The 18,014-nt window shown below is 39.9% G+C and overlaps 1 pseudogene; it reads left to right on the top strand.

Annotated features, from left to right (window-relative positions):
- ABCE1P1 (ABCE1 pseudogene 1) lies at positions 2,650 to 4,779 on the top strand (annotated as a pseudogene).
- The last annotated feature ends 13,235 nt before the right edge of the window (positions 4,780 to 18,014 follow it).

Raw genomic sequence — 18,014 nt, 5'->3', positions numbered from 1 at the left:
TGAGGCAGGAGAATCACTTGAACCCAGGAGGCGGAGGTTGCAGTAAGCCGAGATCATGCAATTGCATTCCAGCCTGGGCAACAAGAGCAAGACTCCGTCTCAAAACAACAACAACAACAACAAAATAAAAATAAAAATAAACTTTAATGAAATAAATGGAAGAGGACATTTAAAAATAGAAAAATATTTTATGCTCATAGATTAGAATATTGTTAAAATGACAATACTTCCCAAAGCAATTTACAGATCAATGTAATCCCTATCAAATTACCAATGACATTCTTCACAAAAATAGAAAGAGCAATCCTAAAATTTATATGGAACCACAAAGACCCTAAATAACCAAAGGAATCCTGAGCAAAAAGAACAAAGCTACAGGCATCACACTACATGACTTCAAAATTTATTACAAACTATAGTCACCAAAACAGCATGGTACTGGCATAGAAACAAACACACAGACCAATAAAACAGAATAGAGAACCCAGAAATAAATCCACACATTTACAACAACTCATTATTGAGAAAGGCACCAAAAACATACAATTGGAAAAGGACAGTCTTTTCAATAAATGGTATTGGAAAAACTACATAACTCTATGCAAAAGAATGAAACTAGCAGCCATAAAAAATGATGAGTTCATGTCCTTTGTAGGGACATGGATGAAGCTGGAAACCATCATTCTCAGCAAACTATCACAAGGACAAAAAACCAAACACCACATGTTCTCACTCATAGGTAGGAATTGAACAATGAGAACACATGGACACAGGAAGGGGAACATCACACACCAGGGACTGTTGTGGGGTGGGGGGAGGGGGGAGGGATAGCATTAGGAGATATACCTAATGCTAAATGAAGAGTTAATGGGTGCAGCACACCAACATGGCACATGTATACATATGTAACAAACCTGCACGTTGTGCACATGTACCCTAAAACTTAAAGTATAGTAATAATAAAATTTTAAAAAAAAGAATGAAACTAGACCTATATCTCTCACCATTCATTAAAATAAATTCAAAATGGATTAAATAGTTGATTCTAAGACCTGAAACTATGAAACTACTGGAAGAAAACATTGGGGAATTGCTCCAGTACATGCATCTGGGCAAAGATTTTTTTTCTGTAAGACCTGAAAAGCACAGGTGACCAAAGCAAAACAGAAAACTGGATTATGTCAAGCTAAAAAGCTTCTATAAAACAAAGGAAACAATTAACAATGTGAAGAGATAACTCACAGAGGCCAGGAACAGTGGCTCACGCCTGTAATCCCTGCACTCTGGGAAGCTGAGGCGGGCAGATCGCTTGATCCTAGGATTTTGAAATTAGCCTGGGTAACATAGCAAAACCTTGTCTCTACAAAAAATTAACCAGGCATGCTGGCACACACCTGTAGTCCCAGCTACCTGGGAGGCTGAGGTGGGAGGATCACCTGAGCCCAGAAGGCTGAGACTACAATGAGCTGTGATTGCACCACTGCCCTCCAGCCTGGGTGACAGAGTGAGACCCTGTCTCAAAAAAAAACAGAGAGGGAGATCATCCATGGAATGGAGGAAAATATCTGCAAACTATCCATCTGCCAAGGGACTAATAATCAGAATATGTAAGGAACTCAAATAGCTCAATAGCAAAAAGTAATAATCATCTGATTTTAAAATGGTCAAAGGATTTGAACAGACATTTTTCAAAAGAAGACATACACATGGCAAACAGGTATATGAAAAAAATGCTTAACATCACTAGTCATCAGAGATACGCACATCAAAACCACAATGCAATATCATTTCACCATAATGAGACCCCATCTCTATAAAAAATAAAAAATTGGCCAAGCACATAGGCTCACGCCTGTAATCCCAGCACTTTGGGAGGCTGAGGTGGGCGGATCATGAAGTCAAGAGATTGAGACCATCCTGGCCAACATGGTGAAACCCCATCTCTACTAAAAACACAAAAATTAGCTGGGCATGGTGGCACGTGCCTGGAGTCCCAGCTATTCGGGAGGCTGAGGCAGAGGAATCACTTGAACCTGGGAGGCGGAGGTTGCAGTGTGCTGAGATCACGCCACTGCACTCCAGCCTGGCGACAGAGCAAGACACCTTCTCAAAAATAAATTAATTAAATAAATATATATATATATATAAAATAAATAAAACAAAAAATTAGCTGGGCATGGTTGTGGGTGCCTGTAGTCCCAGCTACTGAGAAGGCTGAAGCAGGAGGATTGTTGAGCCCAGAAGTTTGAGGCTGCAGTGAGTTGTGATTGCACCACTGCACTCCAGCCTGGGTGAGTGCAGAATGAGACCCTGCCTCTATTTTAATTTTTCTTTTATTAATAAAAAAAGAATAGGCCGGGCACAGTGATGCCTGTAATCTTAGCACTTTGGGAGGCCGAGGCGGGTGGATCACCTGAGGTCAATAGTTCAAGACCAGCCTGGCCAACATGGTGAAACCCCGTCTCCACTAAAAATACAAAAAATTAGCTAAGCGTGGTGGCGGTGGCCTGTAATCCCAGCTACTCGGGAGGCTGAGGCAGGAGAATAGCTTGAACCCAGGAGGCGGAGGTTGCAGTTAGCCAAGATTGTACCATTGCAGTACAGCCTGGGCAACAAGAGTGAGACTCCATCTCAAAAAAAAAAAAAAAAGCCATTTTGGCCAGTGGCCACGAGAACATGCTGTGTGACTGAAAAGTAAAGACAAGAGCTGCTTTGGCCTCTGTGCTCCCCTCCTCAAGGGGATCATTTTCTCCAGAAGAGCTGGATATTCTTTCGCACAGTTCTAGCAGACAAATTAATGAGAATTGCTATTGTCAATCATGACAAATGTAAACCTAAGAAATGTCAACAGGAATGCAAAAAGAGTTGTCCTGTAGTTCAAATGGGAGAATTATGCATAGAAGTTACACCCCAGAGCAAAATAGCATGGATTTCTGAAACTCTTTGTATTGGTTGTGGTATCTGTATTAAGAAATGCCCCTTTGGCGCCCTATCAATTGACAATTTACCAAGCAACTTGGAAAAAGAAACCACACATTGATATTGTGCCAATGTCATCTAAATTAACAGGTTGCCTATCCCTCGTCCAGGTAAAGTTTTGGGATTAGTTGGAACTAATGGTATTGGAAAGTCAACTGCTTTAAAAATTTTTAGCAGGAAAACAAAAGCCAAACCTTGGAAAGTACGATGATCCTCCTGACTGGCAAGACATTTTGACTTATTTCCGTGAATCTGAATTACAGAATTACTTTACCAAGATTCTAGAAGAGAACCTAAAAGCCATCATCAAATCTCAATATGTAGACCAGATTCCTAAGCCTGCAAAGGGGACAGTGGGATCTATTTTGGACTGAAAAGATGAAACAAAGACACAGGCAATTGTATGTCAGCAGCTTGAATTAACCCACCTAACAGAACGAAATGTTGAAGATCTTTCAGGAGGAGAGTTGCAGAGATTTGCCTGTGCTGTCATTTGCATACAGAAAGCTGATATTTTCATGTTTGGTGAGACTTCTCGTTACCTAGATGTCAAACAGCATTTAAAGCCTGCTATTACTATACAATCTCTGATAAATCCAGATAGATATATCGTTGTAGTGGAATATGATCTAGGTGTATTAGACTATCTCTCTGATTTCATCTGCTGTTTATATGGTGTACCAAGCACCTATGGAGTTGTCACTGTGCCTTTTAGTGTAAGAAAGGGCATAAACATTTTTTTGGATGGCTATGTTCCAACAGAAAACCTGAGATTCCAAGATGCATCACTTGTTTTTAAAGTGGCTGAGACAGCAAATGAAGAAGAAGTCAAAATGATGTGTATGTATAAATATTCAGGAATGAATTAAAAATGGGAGAGTTTGAGCTAGCAATTGTAGCTGGAGAGTTTACAGATTCTGAAATCATGGTGATGATGCTAGGGGAAAATGGAATGGGTAAAACGACATTTATCAGAATGCTTGCTGGAAGACTTGAACCTGATGAAGAAGGAGAAGTACCAGTTCTAAATGTCAGTTATAAGTTACAGAAAATTAGTCCTAAATCAACTGGAAGTGTTCGCCAGTTACTACGTGAAAAGATAAGAGATGCTTATACACATCCACAATTTGTGACTAATGTAATGAAGCCTCTGCAAATTGAAAACATCATCGATCAAGAGGTGCAGACATTATCGGGTGGTGAACTACAGCGAGTAGCTTTAGCCCTTTGTTTGGGCAAACCTGCTGATGTCTATTTAATTGATGAACCATCTGCATATTTGGATTCTGAGCAAAGACTGATGGCAGCTCGAGTTGTCAAACGTTTCATACTTCATGCAAAAAAGACAGCCTTTGTTGTGGAACATGACTTCATCATGGCCACCTATCTAGCGGATCATGTCATCATTTTCGATGGTGTTCCATCTACTAAGAACACAGTTGCAAACAGTCCTCAAACCCTTTTGGCTGGCATGAATACATTTTAGTCTCAGCTTGAAACTACATTCAGAAGAGATCCAAACCACTATAGACCACAAATAAATTAATTTAATTTAATTAAGGATGTAGAACAAAAGAAGAGTGGAAACTACTTTTTCTTGATTAGATTGAGTCTGAGAATATTGATAAGCCACTTAGTAAAAGGAATATTTACTAGAATTTTTGTCATATAAAACTCGAATCAGGATTTTATGCCCCACATACTCTGGAGCTTGAAGTATAATTTACTTAATATAACATCAAAGCCAGTTGGGTTCTAAATTGTAGTTGAAACACAGAAAATGCCACTTTACTGTTCCTGATGAGGCCCTTTTGTGCCTAATATTCTAAAGACATTTCAAGCTATACAAATTACCTTCAAGTTTTCATGATGTATGGGAAGATTTTCAGTAGATGTATTATATTCACATACCAAATGCTGACCAGTGTTGCTCCATTTTTTAAATCTTGAAAAGGGTTTCTGTATTTACCTGGTTTGCCAAGTATGCCAGTGTAACGAAACTGCCCTCATTTTAAAAGCCAGTCAAAGATTCCACTGATTGACATTTGATAAATAAACATCAGGATTATGTTTATTATTTGTTTTCAGTCTTTGCACTATATTATCAGTATATGGTTTCCGAGAAAGATTATCTACTGCAAAACACCACTGTTGGAAAAATAAGTATTTTTTAATTGTTTTTAATCTTTTTGGTGCTTTTGAACATGTTTAGCAGAAACCAATTCTGTTCCCTTCCTCCCAAAAAAAACCTAACTTTACTCTGAATTTTTTAGTTTTTGCATTCCGTAAGGTTCTGTATTCAGTCATTCTCTGGGTAATGTCATTTTTTTACACATATATTTATATAATCACTGATCGAGATTTAGGAAAAAGCATTTCTTTTTTTCTTATTCTTCTTCTTCTTCTTAGGAAAAAGCATTTCTAAAGAATATTTGCTTCCCTTACAACCACAGACTCAAAATCTTTAAAGATGGAACCTAAGCATCTATGTATTTTTTTAAAGTTCCACAGATTTTTCCAGTGGGCACCCAAGAATTATAAACCACTTCCCTAAAGGCAACATTAATGCAAAAGTCCCCAAATAGCAATACGAAGTATTCCTTGATACCACATACATTCATTTATGAGTTTGGATATAGAACACATTATCTAAACATTTTTTTAGTTCCAAAAACCCATCCAAATTTCTTTAGTTCCTGAATTTTGAACAGGATTACCTGTAGCCTGGAGCCACTTTAAGTTGTACTTCTGACAAAACTGGAATTAACTTATGAGTGAGGAAGAGGGTTTACTAAATAAATGACTAGAGCAAGCAAAATTGAGGGGGAAATTAGAAAGCATTTCACAAACTTTAAGAGCTACTTGAAATAATAGAAGTCTTGATTAATATGCAAATAATGGCTAGAAAGTGTGGTTTAATTGGATCTCATTATACCTCTTTAAAAAAATTTATGTGAGTAATCCATAAATACACGTTGTAAAAATTCAAATATATAGAATGGGATAAAAAATGATCTCCCTTTATTACCCTCCCAAAGGTTCCCAGTGTTTGAATTTAATAATGTATATTCTTTCATGTTTTTTTCTGTGTACTTCCTAAGTGTGAATATGTAAAGGGTTTGTTTTCTATGCAAATTGGATTATACTAAAATAAGTAATGCCTACTTTTAAGGATAGGTTAAATTTGTGAATGATTAAGTTCAAATAATATTGAATAAAATAAGCAAAAGCTATAAAAAATAGCAGAATTAAATGAAATAGAGACTTAAAAACAATACAAAGGATCAATGAAAGAAAACGTTGGTTTTTTGAAAAGATATACAAAATTGATAAACCTGGCTAGACTAATCAAGAAAAAAAAGGAAGAAGACCTAAATAATCAAAATTGGGGGAAAAAAGGAGACATTACAACTGATTCCACACATACACAAAAGATTATTAGAGACTATAACAAGCCACTATATGCTAAGAAATGGAAGGAGATGGAAAATTTTTGGACACACAACCACGAAGATTGAACTACAAAGAAATAGAAAACCTAAACAGACTAATAATGAGGAATGAGATTGAATCAGTAATTTAAAAAAACTCCCGACAAAGAAAAGTCCAGGACCAGATGGCATTGCTGCTGAATCGTATCAATCGTATACAGAACAATGTACGCCAATTCTTCCCAAACTATTCCAAAGAAACTAAGAGAAGGAGGTACTTTTTAACTCATCCTGTCAGATCAGCATAACCCTGATACCAAAACCAGACAAGGACATCACAAAAAAAGACTATGGGCTGAGATCTCTGATAAACATAGAGTCAACAATCCTCAACAAAATATTATCATATTGAATCCAAAAACACGTTAAAAAGATATTTAGACAGATACCATGATCACATGGGATTCATCCAGCTGATGCAACAATGGTTCAACATATGCAAATCAATGTAAACATTATAAGACCAGGTGTGGTGGCTCACACCTGTAATCCCAGCACTTTGGGAGGCTGAGTTGGGAGGACTGCTTGAGGCTGGGAGCTTGAGATAAGCCTGGGCAGCATGGTGAGACCCATCTCTACAAAAAATTTAAAAATTAGCTGGATGTAATGATGCATGCCTGTAGTCCCAGCCAGTTAGGAGGCTGAGGTGGGAGGTCGAGGTTGCAGTAAGCTTTCATCGCACCACTGCAGTCCAGCCTGGGTGAGATCCTGCCTCAAAAAAAAAAAAAAAAAAAAAAGTCAACATCACTTATCATCAGGAAAATACAAATCAAAACCATAATAAGACAACATCTTACCCCAGTTATAATGGTTATTATTGAAAAGAAAAAAAAATAACACACCAGGCATGGTGGCTCACACCTGTAATCCCAGCACTTTGGGAGGCCGAGGTGGGTGGATCACTTGAGGTCAGGAGTTCTAGACCAGCCGGGCCAACATGGTGAAACCCCATCTCTACTAAAAATACAAAAATTAGCTGGGTGTGGTGGCAGGCGACTGTAATCTCAGCTACTCAGAGGCTGAGGCAGGAGAATCGCTTGAATCCAGGAGGCAGGGTTTGGAGTGAGCCAAGATGGTACCACTGCACTCCAGCCTGGGGGACAGAGTGAGAATCCATCTCAAAAAGGAAAAAAATAAGTTATGGTACAAACATACAGTTAGGTAGTAGGTAGTGTTCAATAGCCCAGTAGGGTGACTATGTTTAACAACAATATATTGTATATTTCAAAATTGCAAGAAGGGAAGATTTGAAATGTTCCCAACACAAAGAAATGATCAATGTTTGATGTGAAGGATATCTTAAGTACCCTAACTTGATCATTACACATTCTATGCATATATCAAAATATCAGTTACATCATAAATATGTACAAATATTAGTATCAATTAAAGAAAAATAGCCAGATGTGGTGGTGCATGCATCCCATCTACTTGGTAGGCTGATGCAGGAGGATCACTTGAGCCCATAAGTTCAAGGCCAGCCTGGGCAGCATAGCAAGACCCCATCTCTAAAAAATAATAATAAAATAAACAAATAAATAAAAATAAAATGAATGAAATCTGAGGTGAGAAAGAATACATTACAACTGATGCCACAGAAACATAAAGGATTATTAAAGACTGTTATAAACAACAGCATGCTAACAAATTGGACAACTTAGGAATATATATATATATTCCTGGACACATACAAACTACCAGGATCAAATCATGAAGAAATAGAAAACTTAAACAGACCAATAACAAGTAACAAGATTAAAGCCATAATAAAAAGTCTGCCAATAAAGAAAAGCCCAGGACCAGATGCCTTCACTGCTATATTCTACCAAGCTTGTAAAGAAATAATACCAATTCTATTCAGACCTATTCCAGAAAATTAATAAGAAGGTACTGCTTCTTCTGTGAGGCCAGCTTTACCCTGATACCAAAACCTAATGAAGACACAATAACAAAAGAAAACTATATTCTAGTACCCCTGAGAAACATAGTCAACAATCCTCAACAAAATACTAACAAACTAAATTAAATTAAAAATAAATATTAAATTTATTAATATTAATATTATTAGACAGTCTCTTCAATAATAATTACTTATTAAATTAATAATTAATATGTAAAAGATCAAGTGAGATTGATCCCAGGGAAGCAAAGATGGTTCAATATATGCAAACCAATAAACATGATATACCACATTGACAGAATCAAAGACAAAAACCATAGTTCAGTTCAATAGATACTGAAAAAGCACTGAATAAAATTCAACATCCCTTCATGATAAAGACTCTTAACAAACTGGGTATAGAAGGAACACACCTCAAACAATAAAGGCAATGTATGACAAACCCACAGCTAACATCATACTGAATGGACAAAAATTGAAAGTCTTTCCTTGAATATCTGGAACAAGACAAGGGTGCCCATTTTTGCCAGTTTTATTCAACTGGAGGTCCTAGCCAGAGCAGTTAGACCAGAGAAAGAAATAAGGAACACTCACATTGGAAAAGAAGAAGTCACACTGTCCTTCCTTGCAGATAACATTACCTTATTTCGAGAAAAAACTAAAGATATCACAAAAAACTTTTAGGACTGATAAGTTTCATAAAGTTTGCAGATACAAAAAGCAACATATAAAAATCAGTAGCATTTCTATATGCCAGCGGTGAACAATCTGAAAAAGAAATCAAGAGAGCAATCCCATTTTACAATAGCTACAAAAATAAAATAAAATACCTAAGAATCAATTTAACCAAAGAAATCAAAGATCTCTACAATGATAACTATAAAATATTAATGAAAGAAATTGAAGAGGACACCAAAAAAATGGAAAGATAATTGATGTTCACGAATTGGAAGAGTTAATATTGTTGAAATGTCCATACCGCCCAAAGTAACCTACAGGCTTAATGCAATCCCTATCAAAATACCAATGACATTTTTACATAAAAAGAAACAGTTACTTTTTTTTTTTGAGACAGAATTTTCCTCTGTCACCCAGGTTGCAGTGCAGTGGTGCCACATCAGCTCACCGGAATCTCCGCCTCCAGGTTCAAGCGATTCTCCTGCTCAGCCTCCTGAGTAGCTGGGACTATATGCGTGCACTACCATGCCTGACTAATTTTTGTATTTTTAGTAGAGACGGGGTTTCACCATGTTGGTCAGGCTGGTCTCAAACACCTGATGTCAAGTGATCCTCTGGCCTTGGCCTCCCAAAGTGCTGGGATTACAGGCGTGAGCCACCATGCCAGACCAGATTGTTACAAATTTTAATCTTAAAATTTGTACAGAACCATAGTAGATTCTGAATAGCCAAAGTAATTCTGAGCAAAAAGAACAAAGCCAGAGACATTACAGTACCTGACTTCAGTAGTATACTACATATACTAAAAGGTTATAGTACCCAAATCAGCATGGTACTGGCATAAAAACATACACATAGACGAATGGAACAGAATAGAGAACCCAGAAATAAAGCCACACATTTGCAGCCATCTCATTTTCAACAAAGCTGCCAAAAATTTACACTGGGGAAAGGGCAGTCTCTTCAATAAATGGTGCTCAGAAAATTGATATCCATTGTGCCTAAGAATAAAACTAGACCCCTATATCTCACTATACACAAAAATAAACTCAAAATGGCTTTGAGAGCTGATTCTAAGACCTGAAACTACAAAACTACTAGAACACATTGGGGAAATGCTCCAGAACACTGGTCTGAGCAAGATTTTTTTTGTGTAAGACCTCAAAAGTGCAAGCAACAAAAACAAAAATAGACACATAGGACTATATTAAACTAAAAAGCTTTGGCACAGCAAAGGAAACAATTAACAAAGTGAAGAGACAACCTACAGAAAGGGAAAAATATTTGCAAACTGGCTGGGTGCAGTGACTCACATCTGTAATCCCAGCACTTTCAGAGGCCAAGGAAAGAGGATGGCTTGTGGCCAGGTGTTCAAGGCCAGCATGGGCAACACAGTGAGACCCTGTCTCTACAAAATAATTAACTAATTTAAAAAATTACAAGAACATTTGTAAACTATCCATCTATCAAGGAATTAATAATCAGAATATACAAGGAGTTCATGCAACTCAATAGCAAAAATAAATAATTCAATTTAAAATAGGCAAAAGATCTGAATAGACATTTCTCAAAGGAAGATGTACAAGGGTATGGTGGTGCATGCCTGTAGTTCCAGCTACTCATCAGGCTGAGGTAGGAGGATCTCTTAAGCCCGAAGTTCAAGTCCAACCTGTGCAATATAGCAAGATCTTGTCTCTAAAAATAAATAAATGACATACAAATGGCCAACAGGTATATAAAAAAAAACCAACTCAACATCACTAATCATATCAGGCAAACACAAATCAAACCACAATGAGATATCTTACCCCAGTAAAATGGCTATTATCAAAAAGATAAAAAATAACAAATACTCAGCACCATAGGAAAGGTTAAAAAAAAGAAGAAGCCAGGCACGGTGGCTCATGCCCGTAATCCCAACACTGTGGGAGGCCAAGGCAGGCAGATCATGAGATCAGGAGTTCGAGATCAGCCTGGCCAAGATGGTCTCTACTAAAAATACAAAAATTAGCCAGGCCTTGTGGCGGGTGCCTGTAATCCCAGTTAGTCGGGAGGCTGAGGCAGAGAATTGCTTGAACCCAGGAGGCAGAGGTTACAGTGAGCCCATATGCCATTGCACTCCAGCCTGGGCGACAGAGCAAGATTCTGTCTCAAAAAAAAAAAAAAAAGAAAGAAAGAAAAGAAAAGGAAAGGAAAGGAAAGGATAGATGCTAACAAGGAGAAGAGGAGCACTTCTACACTATTGGTGGGAATGTAAAATAGTACAGCCACTGTGGAAAACAGTACAGAGGATGTGCCTCAAAAAACTAAAAAGGGAACCACCAGATGATCTAGCAATTCCACTGCTGGTTATATACCCAAAACAAAGGAAATCAGCATTCCAAAGAGATATCTGCACTTGCATGTTTATTGCGGCATATTCACGATAGCCAACGAATGGAATCTTAACCTAAGAGAGTCCATCAGTGGGTGAACGAATGGATAAAGAAAATGTGGTATAAAAAAAAGACAGAGAGAAATGAAAATGTGATATTTATATATGAATATTAGTCAGCCATAATAAAGAATAAACTCCTGCCAGTTGCAGCAACATGGATGGAACTAGAGGATGTTATGTTAAGGTAAATAAGCCAGGCACAGAAAGACAAATATTGCACGTTCTCATTCATATGTGAGGGCTAAAAATTTGATCTCATGGAGGTAGAGAATAGAATGGTGGTTACAGAGGCCAGGAAGGGTAGGAGGAAGGGGGGATGAAGAGAGGTTAGGTAATGGGTACGAAAATACAGTTAGATAGAAGGAATAATTTCTAGTGTTCAATAGAACAGTAGGGTGACTATAGTTAATAATAATTTATCATATATTTCAAAATAGCTAGAAGATAAGATTTGGAATGTTTTAAACACAGAGAAATGATAAATATGTGAGGTTATAGACATTCCAATTACCCTGATTTGATCATTACACATTGTATGCATGTGTCAAAATACCATATGTACCACATAAATATGTACAACTATTGTGTATAAATAAATAAAAGCTAAATCTCAGGATGTTTCTTCAAAAAAGAAAAATCTGTTTCAGGCAGGCATTGGAGGACACAATGACAAATGAGGCACAATCGTTTACACTCAAGGACCTTGCAGTCTGGAAGGTACCCTGAGAAACCTATTCTATAGCCTTATGGAAGTCAAGATTTCCTGTTGGCCGGGTGCGGTGGCTCACACCTGTAATCCCAGCACTTTGGGAGGCTGAGGTGGGCGGATCACAAGGTCAGGAGTTCAAGACCCTCCTGGGCAATATGGTGAAACCCCGTCTCTACTAAAAAATACAAAAATTAGCTGGGCATGGTGGTGTGCACCTGTAATCCCAGCTACTCAGGAGGCTGAGGCAGGAGAATCACCTGAACCCAGGAGGCGGAGGTTGCAGTGAGCTGATATTGCACCACTGCACTCCAGCCTGGGTAACAGAGTGAGACTCTGTCTCAAAAAAAAAAAAAAAAAAAAAAAAAAATTTCCTGTCTATTGCATTCCTTCTTTTACAAATTCATTAATCATGTCAAAGGAAAGAAAGTAAAGTTAGCCATGCACAGTGGCTCACACCTGTAATCCTAGCACTTTGAAAAACCAAGGAGTTGGAAAACAGCCTGGGCAACATGTGGAAATCCCGTCTCTACCAAAAAAAAAAAAAAAAAAATTGCAAAACTAGCCAAGCATGGTGGCGTGCACCTGTAGTCCCAGCTACTCAAGAGGCTGAGGTGGGAGGATGGCTTGAGCCCAGGAGATGGAGGTTGCGGTGAGCAGTAATCGTGCCACTGCACTCCAGCCTGGGTGACAGAGCCACACCTTGTCTCAAAAAAATAAATAAATAAAAATAAAGTGAATTTGAAAATACACGTCTTTATCAAACTCTCACTTCTAAGAATGTGTTTCCTTTATATGACCACATAAATGATACTTTGAAGAATTATTTCTTGAATCTTGCCCAGAATCAAAACCAATTTCATCAGCATATAATTTGAGAGCTCTACCTTCTCCTATTAGAAATTGCCACTGTATTTGTTAATATCCGATCTTGATTTCATTCTCCTTGATTTTCAAATAACAGAATATCTGTTAATCTACTCATTCAGGGTTCTCTGAGTAAGCTGAGATATAATTCACGTAGGCCTGATAATTGAAAATTATTTAGATCACTGTACAATTTATATATTCTCACACTTCTCACCCATCTTGGGCTCCAGTTCCTTCTGACCCACTTTTGTTTTACCTTCATCAGTATCCAGACCATTTTCGTAGACACTGAAGACAGACTCAAAGAGTTCTGCTTCCTCTGTCACTTGTTCACACTACACAGCCCAAGCATCAGACCTAGGTCTTCTTTTATCTTCTGGAGGTAAATGTGATCTTTTTTTTTTTTTAGTTAGAGTCTCACTCTGTCGCCCAGGCTGGAGTGCAGTGGTGTGATCTTGGCTCGCTGCAATTGCCACCTCCTGGGTTCCAGCGATTCGGCCTCAGCCTCCCGAGTAGCTGGCACTACAGGCACACGACACCACCCCCGGCTAATTTTTGTATTTTTGGTAGAGACAGAGTTTCACCATGTTGGCCAGGCTGGTCTCAAACTCCTGACCTAAGGTGATCCACCCACCTTGGCCTCCCAAAGCGGTGGGATTACAGGCATGAGTCACCGTGCCTGGCCTAAAAAACTGTTTTATTTGTTGTTAGTGGCTTTGCAATTCTTCTCTCATTTGAGCTTTAGTATTCCTCATGCCATTTTCACAGATTTGTGGAACTCTATTCATCTTTAGTCACATTTCCTTATTTCTGTCATGCATATATTTTCTATTAATATCTGAACTAATTAGAAAATGCCGCATACTATCACAATGGCTTTTTCAGACATCTCCTTTTTCTCTTCTTCACTGAGGTCATTTTAAATTATGTGATCAGAATTGACTATTTCAGGACAACCCAATCCTCTTGATCATGGCACATCTAACACAGTGCAGAGCAAATAATAGGAACTTACTAAATATTTAATGAATGAATTACAATAAATGAAAGAAAATCTCATTCCAATGAATTTTTTTTTTCTTGAGACCAAGTCTCACTCTGTTGCCCAGGCTGGAGTGCAATGATGCGATCTTGGCTCACTGCAGTCACTGCCTCCCAGGTTCAAGCAATTCTGCCTCAGCCTCCTGAGTAGCTGGGACTACAGGTGCCCGCCACCACACTCGGCTAATTATTGTATTTTTAGTAGAGATGGGGTTTCACCATGTTGGCCAGGGTGGTCTTGAACTCCTAACCTCAGGTGATCCACCTGCCCTTGGCCTCCCAAAGTGCTGGGATTACAGGTGTGAACCGTTGTACTAGGCCATCATTCCAAAGAATTATGCCTCTCCTTTCTTTGAATTTATTTTTTCTTTTTTTGAGACAGGGTCTCACTCTGTCATCCAGGCTGCAGTGCAGTAGCATGATCATAGTTCACTGAAGCCTTGAACTCCTGGACTCAAGTGATCCTCCCATCTCAGTCTCCTGAGTAGATGGGACTACAGGTGTGTGCCACCAAGCCCAGATAATTGTTTAAAACTTTTTTAAGAAATGAGGATCTTGCTATGTTGTCCAGGCTGGCCTGGGACACCTGGCCTAAAGTGATCCTCTCATCTCAGCCTCCCAAATAGCTGGGATTACAGGTGCAAGTCACCCACACCGAGCTCTCTGAATTTTTAAAAATCTGAATGTTTTTGTAATCCTCAAGACATAGCTGGCTATTCCTATTATAAAAAATTATATACAAAAATGAGCCAGGCATGGTGGCACGCGCCTATAGTCCCAGCTACTTGGGAGGCTGAGGCAGGAGAATCGCTTGAACCCGGGAGGCAGAGGTTGCAGTAAGCCAGGATCATGCCACTGGCCTGGGTGACAGACCAAGACTCTGTCTCGAAAAAAAAAAATTATGACGGCTGTAGAATAATTTTCTCCCTATGTTCCTGTCACTTTTACTTCAGTAAATTTCAGTTTTTGGTTTTGGGATTTTTTGGTTTGGTTTTTTGTTTTTTGTTTTTTTTTGAGACGGAGTCTTGCCCTGTCACCCAGGCTGGAGTGCATTGGTAGGATCTCGGCTCACTGCAACCTCCGCCTCCTGGGTTCAAGCAATTCTCCTGCCTCAGCCTCCCAAGTAGCTGGGACTACAGGCACACACCACCACATCTGGCTAATTTTTGTATTTTTAGTAGAGATGGGGTTTCACCCTTCTGGTCAGGCTGGTCTCGAACTCCTGACCTCAGGCGATCCACCCACCTCAGCCTCCCAAAATGCTGGGATTATAGGTGTGAGCCACCACGCCCAGCCACGAATTTCAATTTTAAAGTACATTCATCTTTCTGTGTTTCTCACTAGTGAAGACGTCATTCAGTGCTGTGGGAGCCCCTCAGAAAAACCCTTTGGAGGCTGCGCATTGTGGCTCATGCCTGTAACCCCAGCACTTTGGGAGGCCGAGGTGGGCGGATCACGAGGTCAGGAGTTCAAGACCAGCCTGGCCAACATGGTGAAACCCTGTCTCTACTAAAGATACAAAAAATTAGCCGGGCATGGTGGTGGATGCCTGTAATCCCAGCTACTTGGGAGGCTGAGGCAGGAGAATCGCTTGAACCTGAGAGGCAGAGGTTGCAGTGAGCTGAGATCCCACCAATGCATTCCAGCCAAGGCAACAGGGCGAGACTCCATCGCGAAAAAAAAAAAAATTATGACGGCTGTAGAATCATTTTCTCCCTATGTTCCTGTCCCTTTTACTTCAGTGAATTTCAGTTTTAAAGAATATGCATCTTTCTGTGTTTGCCACTAATGAAGACGTTAATTCAGTGCTGTGGGAGTCCCTCAGAAAAACCCTTTGGAGGCCAGGCACCCTGGCTCACGCCTGTAATCCCAGAACTTTGGGATGCCAACCAAGAGGATCACTTGAGCCCAGGAGTACAAGACCAGCCCTGGCAATATAATGAGACCTAGTCTCTATAAAAGACTTAACAATTGGCTGGGCACGTTGGCTCATGCCTGTAATCCCAGCACTTTAGCAGGCCAAGGCAGGTAGATCACCTGAGGTCAGGAGTTCAACACTAGCCTGACCAACATGGTGAAACCCTGTCTCTACTAAAAATACAAAATTAGCCAGGTGTGGTGGCTGGTGCCTGTAATCCCAGCTACTCGGGAGGCTGAAGTAGGAGAATCACTTGAACCCGGGAGGCAGAGGTTGCAGTGAGCTGAGATTGCTCCATTGCACTTAGCCTGGGTGACAGAGCAAAACCCCATCTTAAAAAAAAAAAAAGGAAAGACTTAAAAATTATCCAAGTGTGGCAGGGTGTGGTGGGAGGATTGCTTGAGGCCAGAAGTTTGAAACCATCCTGGGCAACAAAGTAAGACACCATCTCTATTAAAAAAGAGAAATTTTGGCTGGGTGCAGTGGCTCACACCTGTAATCCCAACACTTTGGGAGGCTGTGAAGGGCGGATTACCTGAGGCCAGGAGTTCAAGACCAGCCTGGCCAACATGGTGAAACCCCGTCTCTACTAAAATACAAAAATTAGCCGGGCGTAGTGGCGGGCACCTGTAAATCCCAGCTACTTGGGAGGCTGAGGCAGGAGAATTGCGAGGCAGAGGCTGCAGTGAGCCGAGATCGTGCCACTGCACTCCTCTTGTTGCCTGGGCAACAGAGCAAGACTACGTCTCAAAACATGAGAGAGAGAGAGAAATTTCGAAGAAGAAGAAGGAGGAGGAGGAGGAGGAGGCAGAGGAGGAGGAGGAGGCTGGGCACAGTGGCTCACGCCTGTAATCCCAGCACTTTGGCAGGCCGAGACCAGTGGATCACGAGGTCAGGAAATCGAGACCATCCTGGCCAACATGGTGAAACCCTGTCTGTACTAAAAATACAAAAATTAGCCACGCGTGGTGGCATGTGCCTGTAGTCCCAACTACTCAGGAGGCTGAGGCAGGAGAATAGCTTGAACCCGGGAGGCAGAGGTTGCAGTGAGCTGAGATCATGCCACTCCACTCCAGCCTGGGTGACAGATCAAGACTCCATCTAAAAAATAATAATAATAAAGAAAAAGAAGGAGGCCGGGTATGGTGGCTCACACCTGTAATCCCAGCACTTTGGGAGGGCAAGGTGGGAGTATCCCTTGAGCCCAGGAGTTCAAGACCAGCCTGGGCAACATGGCAAAACCCTGTCTCTACCAAAAATTCAAAAGAAATTAGCTGGGTATGGTGGTGCGCACCTGTAAGTCCCAGCTACTTGAAAGAATGAGGCAGGAGGATTCTTTGAGCCCAGGTGTTCAAGGCTACAGTGAGCTATGATCACACCACTGCATGCCAGTCCAGGTGAAAGAGTGGGACCCTGTCTCTATTTACAAAATTAAGTTGTGACTAAATGTTGCCATGAACTCACAAGTTCTATTTTTGGAAAAGTTATGAAAGGAAGACAAACCCCTCTCCCTGCTTCTGCCAACCTTTGCTGAACATTAGCCCAGCTGTCTCCAGAGGTGCCGTGCCTGTGCCGTGGGCAAAACCCATCAGGGACCACTTGCAGCCAGCTCTGAGCTCAGAGCCATGAAGACTACGTAGGAGCTTGAAAACGTGATGGGTAATGTCTGGATATTGCTTTGCATTTTATTTGCTAGGGAATTAAGGGAACATGAATCCTGCTAATCATTCTCCATCACTTCCATTCTTCAGTCTCTATCTCATTGCAATTAAGACAATCAAAGTGCGTCCCTGCCCAAGAAGGCAGGCAAACACAATTTAGGTAGCCCTTAAATTTTTATTATGTAATATTAAAGGAAGTTAGGGTTACTAATTGTTCCAAAATGTATATTTTTCCACCTTGTATATAACTTTGATATTTTAGATGAAATTCCTAAAAACATAGCCTTATTTCGATGCCATAGATAAGTCCTTTATAACATTTTTTAATTTCAA

Source organism: Homo sapiens, chromosome 7, assembly GCF_000001405.40.
Source record: "Homo sapiens chromosome 7, GRCh38.p14 Primary Assembly".
In the NCBI taxonomy this organism is placed as follows: Eukaryota; Metazoa; Chordata; class Mammalia; order Primates; family Hominidae; genus Homo; species Homo sapiens.
Note: the sequence above shows the minus strand (reverse complement) of the source record. Positions and strands in the feature narration are given on the sequence as shown.